Source organism: Homo sapiens, chromosome 14 (genome assembly GCF_000001405.40).
Source record: "Homo sapiens chromosome 14, GRCh38.p14 Primary Assembly".
In the NCBI taxonomy this organism is placed as follows: Eukaryota; Metazoa; Chordata; class Mammalia; order Primates; family Hominidae; genus Homo; species Homo sapiens.
Genome location: NC_000014.9, coordinates 38,213,236 through 38,223,340, shown reverse-complemented (window position 1 = coordinate 38,223,340; position 10,105 = coordinate 38,213,236). Strand labels below are relative to the sequence as shown.

The following is a 10,105-nucleotide window of genomic DNA, read 5'->3' as shown; positions in this document are numbered from 1 at the left end:
CAAAGACTTAGAACCAACCCAAATGTCTATCAATAATAGACTAGATAAAGAAAATGTGGCACATATACACCATGAAATACTATGCAGCTATAAAAAAGGATAAGTTTATGTCCTTTGCAGGGACATGGATGAAGCGGGAAACCATCATTCTCAGCAAACTAACACAAGAACAGAAAACCAAACACCGCATGTTCTCACTCATAAGTAGGAGTTGAACAATGAGAACACATGGACATAGGGAGGGGAACATCACACACTGGGGCCTGTTGGGGGCTCGGGGACTAGGGGAGGGATAACATTAGGAGAAATACCTAATGTAGGTGACAGGTTGATAGGTGCAGCAAACCACCACAGCACGTGTATACCTATGTAACAAAACTGCACGTTCCGCACATGTACCCCAGAAATTAAAGTATAAAAATAAATAAAAAATAAAAAGATTAAGGTGGGCCAACCAGCCTTCCCCACACCATGTAAATGTCAAAAAAAAAAAAAAAAAAAGTAGGCCTTCAGGCAAAGTAGGCTTATCTTCTCTTTTTCAGATCTATTCATGCTAACTCAAGGTACAGAAAATGATGGGCCCAACGCGGTGGCTCACACCTGTAATCCCAGCACTTTGGGAGGCCGAGGCGGGCGGATCATGAGGTCAGGAGTTCACGACCAGCCTGACCAAGGGACCAGCCTGGCCAATGTGGTGAAACCTCGTCTCTACTAAAAATACAAAAATTAGCCGGGCGTGATGGCGGGCGCCTGTAATTTCAGCTACTTAGGAGGCTGAGGCAGACGAATTGCTTGAACCCGGGAGGTGGAGGTTGCAGTGAGCTGATATCGTGCCATTGCACTCCAGCCTGGGCAACACAATGAGACTCTGACTAAAAAAAAAAAACCCAAAAAGCTGTCTTTGCCCTATTTTTTTTAATGGGCTACACCTTGAACTCAGTAATTTTTATCTAAGAAATAGCAGCTTAAAAGGCTACCTATTGAACTAAATTGATCTCCAAAATGCACTTTTCTGGTATTTAACTGGCTATCTTGAAACCTTTTGGTAAAAGAAATTTACATCTATAAAGGAAACCTCCATATATAAGGGTATCTGTCTGTGTTCATTAGAAACGCTTGCTATTGTTTTAAATTTACATAACAAGTCATACTTTCTTTAAGGTGCTTTTCTGGCCATTTCCTCTTAATTGAACTTTCATTTACTGTTCAGAAGCTCTTTAGTTTAATTAGATCCCATTTGTCAATTTTGTCTTTTGTTGCCATTGCTTTTGGTGTTTTAGACATGAAGTCCTTGCCCATGCCTATGTCCTGAATGGTAATGCCTAGGTTTTCTTCTAGGGTTTTTATGGTTTTAGGTCTAACATTTAAGTCTTTAATCCATCTTGAATTAATTTTTGTATAAGGTGTAAGGAAGGGATCCAGTTTCAGCTTTCTGCATATGGCTAGCCAGTTTTCCCAGCAGCATTTATTAAATAGGGAATCCTTTCATCAGGTTTTCCTTTGTTTGAACAAATGATGCTATTATATTTAGGCCTAAAATCTTAGCTATGTGTTTTTGAAATATACAATTTCTTGTTTCACCTGAGCTGTTCCTTTAGAAATGCAAATTTAGAGTTGCCTAGCTAACAATTGCTTAGGGCAATGAAACGGGGCAATTGAAAGAGTGATAGTCTGAATGGGGGGAAAAATCTGAAAGCCAGCAAATGAGAACACTTTATGAAAGCTGTAAATCTGCTTCTGTCTATGTGTCTCTATGTCTCTATGTCTGTATGTGTTATTTGTTGATGATAATGTTTGGTAAATAAAGCTAGTTTTTAAGTTGTTGGTAAAATAGGAATGGCTTCAAAATTGTTGGTGAAATATAATTCAATAATTGCTTGATGTGACTGTGAGTTTATGTATGTTTTTAGTTTTGAGCCTCTAGATTCAGGGGTCTGGATAGATGGTCATGGTGAGGCCTAGAGATATGTTCTCAACACCTAGACCAGAGGCTACAAGGCAGAATCAATGGCACCTTTGTTGCTTCATAACTGATCAGAAACAAAACATCAGTCCACTCTTTAAACTACGTCATAGATTAAAGAGAACATTGTCTGCATAAGTTAAAGAGTACATTGCCAGGAGGCGTTTGCTCTTCTGGATGGGCATCATTTTTTAGGTCTCTTTTCCCATGGTTTGGAGTAAATGAGGCAATAGTTAGAAATTTATCCCTCACGCTGGGCTCTTTAACAGATTCTACTGCAAAGGCTATGGTTTCACAACAGATTTAAAATTATCTTGTTAAAGTTATGCTAAATAACAGAATTGCTCTAGATGACTTACTGGCTAAACAGAGAAGTATCTTTGCTGTTGCTGATACTTGTAGTTGCACATAGAGGCATACATTGGGTGTTACAGAGATTCAGTAATAGGAGATTAATGAGCAGGCTGCTTGGTTGAAAATGGTAGATGTTTTATCTAGCCCATTCTTTGATCTATTTATTTTAGCTGGTTTGTTTCACTGGGACCTGGCTAAGGAGCACACCCTAAACTCTTGGTATTATCCTCCTGATAGACATAATAGTCTCCCTGGTGCACTGTATTCTCTCAAAAGTTTTAAATGTTTGCATGCAGCCATGTCAAGGATGTCAAATGCTCTCTTCAACTGTGGTGATAAAAGCTCAGAAGAAAAATGTGGGCACCATAACTTGTGAATGATGTGGTGAGACTGGAAACTCAAAAGGATGGTAACTGAGTGTGGCATGAAGGTACTATGTTTTGGTCACACTCTCACCTAAGTGAGAAACTGACTGAAAGAGGGAAATTGCTAAAGAAAAAATAACCTGAAGTCCTTGTTTCCATCTTACAAACCTAATTTCCTACTATTTTCCAGTAAAATTTAAGACCAAATAAGTACACTTTTAAATGGTGACAGAGTGACATTGAAGCCTAAAGTTTTGGTCAATCTCTCAATATTGAGTGATGACCAAAAGGGAGGAATTGTTTAGCCCAAAGCTGCCTCCTTATATATTCTAAGTTTGGCCTCAAAGTTTCTCTGTACATAGTGAACTGTAACCTTAGTGGATGTGCAAACAGACTGTAACCTACTGTTGTGCCAGTCACTGAGTTTTGGCTAATCAAATGTAGTCAACCATTCAAACCATGTTCAAATAAGGCAAACACTGGGCTGTAGCCAATCTGTACCTCACTTCCATTTTCTGTAGCCTGCTTTCTTTCTCTGTCCATAAATTTTTCACCATGTGGCTACACTGGAATCTCTCTGAACCTATTGTCATTTGGGGGCTGCCCAATTTGTGAATCATTCTGTGCTCAATTAAACTCTGTTAAACATAATTTGTCTAAGATTTTTCTGTAAACAATAACCAGTGATTTTCCAAAGCCAAGATTCTAAACAATGCATTCTGATTCTTGATCCCACCTACTTAATCACTGCACTGTGGCACTGCTTCCCTAATTAGAAGGAGGGGCATGTATGGTGTGGCCTTATGTGTATCATATGGAGTTCTTGAAATGGGCACATTTGACTTAGCAGTGAAACTAGTTTTTCTCCTAAGCAATCTGACTCATTTCTGTGGGAAATATAGCTGTTTTAGTATTTACCGATTATTTAGCTTATTATACTTTAGGTAGAGATCATGAGTAGGGTGGTACATTTTGTTGTTGGTCACTGTAATGGGGGAATCCTGAAACAACAGTCAAAATTTTCCCAATTTTAGATAGTTTGCAGAATGACATTTATGTGCCATTTAAAAGGACTTCAATTGATAGAGGATCATTGTTCTTGGAGTCAAATTGATCTGGTTTCCAGTACTCCTGGTTCTGTTTCTATCACCTATCAGCTTTTATGTGCTGGGCAAGTTCTCTCTCTCTCTCTCTCTCTCTCTCTCTCTCTCTCTCTCTCTCTCTCACACACACACACACACACAACCTTCCTTGTATAAGAAATGAAGATTTCTAATTCACAGGAATCTTGGGGAAAACTAAATGGGATAAAATGTAAAGCACTTAGCAAAATGTGTCACTTACAAAGTAGATACTGAGTAAATGTTCCTTCTCTGCCTGCCCCGCTGCTGTATTTTAAACTCTGGTTACTGACAGTTTTATGTAACTGCTATGAAATCTGAAGGGAACTGAACTGTCAGTCTAATTCATGGGAACTGGTTATCTTCACAATGGTGTTTTAGGGTCCCAAATGTATGGCATAGCTATATGTGTAAGCCACAGGAAAAATGAAGGAAGCTTATTTGGATACTATTTTACTAATCATTGGTACCCATCTCTGGTTGTGGTGGGCTACCTTATTTATGTTACTTAAAATTATGTTTAAAGCAAACTTTCCCACAATTGTTGATGATAAAGTGTGGTTTCACATCTAGCCCTGCCAAACCTTTGCATATCACTTTGTGTTTTATTCCTATATGCTGCTAACTTCAGTGCCATCTTCAATATGCTTAACATTATGCTATGTGTAACATTAAAATGATTTTATCAAGTTATTTTTAAACATATTTAAATAATATTATTAATCTTATGAAAATGTAACAAAATGTTACTAACCTGGATTAATATCTAATCTGATTTTAAAGCTGTAGAATCTAATGTAAAGACTGATTAATTTTCTTGAGGCCATATGGAATCTGTTAATTTCTAGATCAAAATCCTTTTAACATTTATGAGATATTTTGAATTTCCCAAATAAATAACATCACTAGTGTCCTTTATCATAGAAAAAAATGCATAAATACAAATATATTTCGCTCAGCTTTCAGTGGTACTTACATGCAAAGAAATGAAACAAAGTGTTGTTTGTTTAAAGTAAATCTAACACTGTCTAAGTAATTTTATATGGCTAGATCATGTAGAAGCATTTTAAAACCTGAATCACCTCAATTCTCCACTTTCTCTTGTAGAACACCAATAATGATTAATAATAATAATAATAGTATCTTCAATTTACTGAGCTCTTAATATGCCTGGCAGTTGTAGATGGTGCTTGATTTTGTTGTTGTTGCTGTTTGTTTGTTGCCATGCAACTACCATTCATTACATACTTTGGGTAATTTTATCTCAATTTATTCCTCTTGAAATCGACCCTGCTACCCTCCCATTTCTGGGTAAAGTTGACACTGCTATCTCCAAGGGTAGATTATATCATCCAGGCCAGCCAGCCATATTCCTCAGACTTTGCTAATGAATTCAGTGGCAGACGCTGTCACATTCTGGAATTTTACTCACCTTCCTTACAAGCTAATAAGTTAGTCTGTTGCTGTTTAATAGAGGTTGGCAGAAGATACAAGATTCCTGGGTCAGGCAGAGGACTTTATTGCTTATGGCACAGCCAGCAAGCATGATTTGCATTAGTTCTCTTTGCCTCCCATTCTCATATGGGTGATGCACTATGAGCCCAGATGGATGCTGTGTAGCAGTGGGTTTTTGTCACATTTGAAGGACACTGATCTTGGATAAACCACCACTTTATAGCAAGCAGGGACCAAGCCTTCTTTCTGACCTTGAAAGAGACGTTAACTGATTGCTCAAGATTGCTTGCTGCAAACACAACCTTGAGAAATAATCCAGGTACAGAACAGTCAGCAGTCAGGGCCTCACATTCTTGGCATACTCAGCAAAATGTATAAGAAACCAAGAGAGGAGTGCCTCCCAACAGATAAATGTTCTCAGACAGCCCAAAAGAGAAAATAACATTTTCTCTTTCGTTTGAAATTTGAACCTGGAAAGAAGACATGTTTTACTTTCTGCATCTGTCTTACCACAAAAGAATAGCCAGGCTGAGTATGAAGCCAACATGGCACAAATCAGGGATGAGCAATGGAGACTGAAAAAAGATTCTAGTGAGTTTTGGGTCAAGTGCACCCTGAAGCCAGATCTTCTCAAGACTTTTCACACATGTGAGCTAATTGAGTTTTCATACTAAAAAAGTTGACTGATTTAGCATTTGACATGCCTTGTCTCACCACAACAGCCCTATGGAAGAGATGTCATTATCTTGACCTTATAGACGAATGAAATGTGATTCACAAAGATTAAGTTGCCCAGTATTACACAACAAAGAAAGCAGAGCCACATCTGCTGATGGCAAACTCCATGCTCTTAACACTTAAATTATTAGTACTCAAACTTTATTGTACTTTAGAATCATTGAGAATTGAAATCTACCTCAGAACTAATTAATCAAAATATCTGTGGGTAAGACATAGAGGCCATGAATTTTTTATAAGTTCTCAGGTGATTCTAATGCTGGAATTATGGATCACTTGTTGAGAAACATTTGCCTTACAGGAACATGCGATTTTAGGGATTCTGCTGCCTGATTTTCTGATACTGTGCCCTTATTAAAAAGTCCTGCTTCTGGAGGAATAATACTTGAAGCTTTGTCAGTTATGTAAATTATAAATCAATGTAAATCCTTTTCTGAGAAGAACTTTATTGGGAGAAGTGGGGAAAATCAGAAAACATGAGGTCCTGAGCTGGGGGAAGGAGGGGTAGAAATGGGAGCTAAAAAGGGAAAAGGGAAAAAAGACAGTCTTGAAGTTCTATTTCACCAATTATTGCCTAAGAAGTTCCTTTTTGTTTAATTAATAATTGTGTGTGTGTGTGTGTGTGTGTGTGTGTGTGTGTGAATGTGTGTGTATGTTAATTTCAGGTGCCAGAGTTTATACATAGGAAGACTTGAAAATCTTTTGAAAAAGACATACAGACATTTTGGTTTGCTAGTTACAGTGGCTCATTGGACATAAAGGAGAATGTTTAACTTAATTATTGACTTTGAATAGACATTTTGCCACTGTTAATAAGATTAGCTAGATTAATAGTTGTTCAAGTGTTGTAGAGACAGAAAGAACAGAGTGAGAGTTATTATTCATCAATATTTGGACATTCTTTCACAGAATAGTTATGGAAGTCATGTGTGCTATTGTAAAATATTGTCCTGCTTGCCTATCATGTCTTGGTTTGTTTTTTTTCTCTCTCTCTCTTTAAATTTATGGGAAGTATCAGTTGCCTTTTGAGATAGGTATTATTTGTTGAAAGTCAGAACTGTTTTTGTACATAATATTCTACTGTGACCTCCTCTGTATAACATGTCTTCCTTTAAGTGGAATCTAGCATATAGTTTTTGTATTCTTAAATTCTTAAAGCTGGGAATACTTGAAGTCTTGTTGTTAACATTTCCAAGCATGTAGGCACTGAGGGTGGGCTAGAGTTATTCAGTGACAAGTTAATATGCTAACTGATAGCATTTCCCACTTCTCATTTTCTTTCATACTTCTTGTCCACTCAAAATTGAAGACTTAGATCAACCTGGCTTAAAGAGGCATTTATTTTTAAAGTTTTAAGTTCCTCATTACTCCTAAGAGTTCTGGTAACATGCCTGTAGTCTAGGTCTTAAATGTTTCTAGTTTTTGGCTAATCCAATCGATTTTAAGGTATGTTTTGACAATAATTATGTTTATTATAAAAGTGAACATTCTACCGAAGTTTTAATAATTTTATTTAAAATTATATCTTTTTCTTTAGATGATGCTCCTCTCTCCCCAACAGTATGACAAGGAGGCATTTTGATATTTTACTTTTAACTGGCTTATTCAGTTCATAGGCCTCCTCAACTTTGTCATACTTGCAGAACCCCTTCTTTTCTAGTTGATATCAGAAGCTGGGCTGTATTTGATCATTCCTAACACAGTCATTTTACAAGTATGCTCACTCTAATACCTTGTCTCCAGATATTTAGCAAAATAATAAGTGATCACTTACAACATTATCTCTGTACCTGCCTTCTCCTTGGGAAACCATGTCATTTCAACAATGTGGAAACTGTCTTCTTTTAAAGCCAACAAACTGAAATTTATTGAATAAAAAGCAAGATATCCATCTGCATATGTGTAAGAGGTTCTCCTTAGCTCAAAGTTGTGTGGTGCAACGAGAGAGAAACAAAGACTTTGCAATACTGTATTTTGTAAGTACCCACCACAGTTATGTGTGCTACAGGCAAAGTTATATGAACATCTATTAATTATTTCAGTTAATACTTCACTCTGATGTTGTACGTTGGAATAAAAAAGGGAATGAACAAGATTTTCAAAACAGAATCCCATTGTTAAAGTGTTTTTTCAGATCAATACAAATATGACATCTCTATTATTTGTTTAAAATAGACTGGAAATATATTGCCATTTTAAAAATGAATCATCCCTACTATTCTCCAGGTGAAATTCTTGTCTTTTTTCTCAGGCCAAAATTACACATTCAACATTTTTGTACAATGGTCGGAATTAAAATGGATGAGGAGTCAAAGGTTTTCAAGTGTGATCCTTTTCTGTGGGTACTATGTAAGAAGATGACCTGGGAAATGCTACTCTGGGAACACAAAGGCCACTTATAAAAAAGATAATAATTCACAGACATTAAACTAATATGTTTTAATTTCTATAAATCATGTTTCATTTTAGTCTCTCTCCCTGAGGACAGGCTCATTACATTAGGAAAGGAGAGGGCTTGACTCCACCTTCTTTATAGGTAATGCAAACATGCTTGGAAATCAGGTAGGTGTGTGTTTAGGGGAGGGGCAGGAGAGATTACTAAATACTTTTCCTGCTACAGCACATCAAGGGGTAAGACTGAAGGACTCAACTACTATCTTTTTTCTCTAGTGTAAAGGTGAGGTGGGGAGAGTGGAATGTTTTAATAAGTAATGTTGACAAAAGTAAAGAGGGATAAAGAAGACCTGAAAGCCACAGAAAAGAAGACAGGCATAGTCAGGTCGAGTAGATTCTAAGGGTTGCCAGTCTACAGCCACTGAGGTCCCCTGTATTCACTGAGCCAAGAATTTTACCATGTGGCCTCTGTGGCAGGGTGAGATAACTTCTCAGCAGAGGCTGGGGGAGACCACTGGGCTAGTGGACTATACTGGGGCCATAGAAGACTCAGAGAAAGCTGCAGCCCACAGGAACTGAAGTGCAGGCCTCCCCAAGCTGAGAGGTTGATTCACAGGCTCTGACAGCTGCAGACTTCAACAAACTTCAGCCAGGAAGCAGAAAGGTACACAAAGGACCTGGCCCCAGAGAGCAAAAGGAAGAGAGGGCCCCTATCCCAAGGACTTGACCTTATCCCTTCCTCCAGTAGCATGCATAAAACCTCCTCCTCATATTCATTCTAAAGCCATTTTAGGGATGTCAAAAGAGAAAGAGGAGGCTAGCTGAGAGGCTGTCCAAACTTATTCAAATGAAATTTTTAATTTTTTAATGGCTATTTAAATTATCAGCTCAACTGGATGTTTGACTATTTGTTTAATTTTTTTCCCCAGCTAATGCATTGGAAGGAGCTTGGAATTTTGTTCAGATTAGTTGAAACCAAATGACAAAATAGGTTTTCTCTGCACGTCTAAGTTATGAGTTTAATTTGCCACCTTGCTGCAGCTTTTAAAAATAATAAAAGAGACTTGCATAGTGAGAGAAAAAAATAATAGAAATGATGAAAGTCCAGTTATCCTTAATCATATTGTGATGATGTATAGAACCATATAAAGCATAGAGTCACAGGGCATTTGAAGGCATTTGAACTCTCCATCCCCAACTCTGCTTCTGGAATCACTGCTATTACCTGCTTGGAAAATAGTCCTTTTTGCTCATTTTGATATGAAAATAAAACTGCTCTAAAAAGATCAAGTCTGTTAAAAACAAACAAACTTCCCTAATGATTTCTTACATTCTCCAGAGATTGATATGGCCATCACTGAACAAGGCAGAAAATACGTCCATCTCCTATGTCAAAATCTGATTTTTCTATTTATTTTGCCACTGTCTTCTGGGACATCTTTAGGAGATAGTTTTCCCCTTCCGTTGTCTTTCCTCAGGTTGTAAATCAGCAATTACTTAGTTCCCAAAAAAAAGTCTGAGGTTATAAATGGGGGTAGACAGTAATTTTATCTGCGAGAGATTAAGATATCATCCACTTAGTTTGGTGACAACAGAGTGCAACTGAGTGCATTGCTTCCTGTTCATCCTGGCTCAACTTTTTCTTCTTTCTCTCTGTCTACCTCTCTCTCCCTTTCTGAACTAGCCGACTTTTCTTTTTAACAAAATAATTCAGG

The 10,105-nt window shown here is 37.4% G+C and overlaps 1 annotated feature.

The window, feature by feature from the left end:
* Positions 827-1,351: an enhancer, noted in NCBI's record as "OCT4-NANOG hESC enhancer chr14:38691195-38691719 (GRCh37/hg19 assembly coordinates)". NCBI's record gives its function as "activates a minimal SCP1, AML or CMV promoter by ChIP-STARR-seq in primed H9 embryonic stem cells {active_cell/tissue: H9 hESC(primed)}" and the evidence as "EXISTENCE:reporter gene assay evidence [ECO:0000049][PMID:30033119]".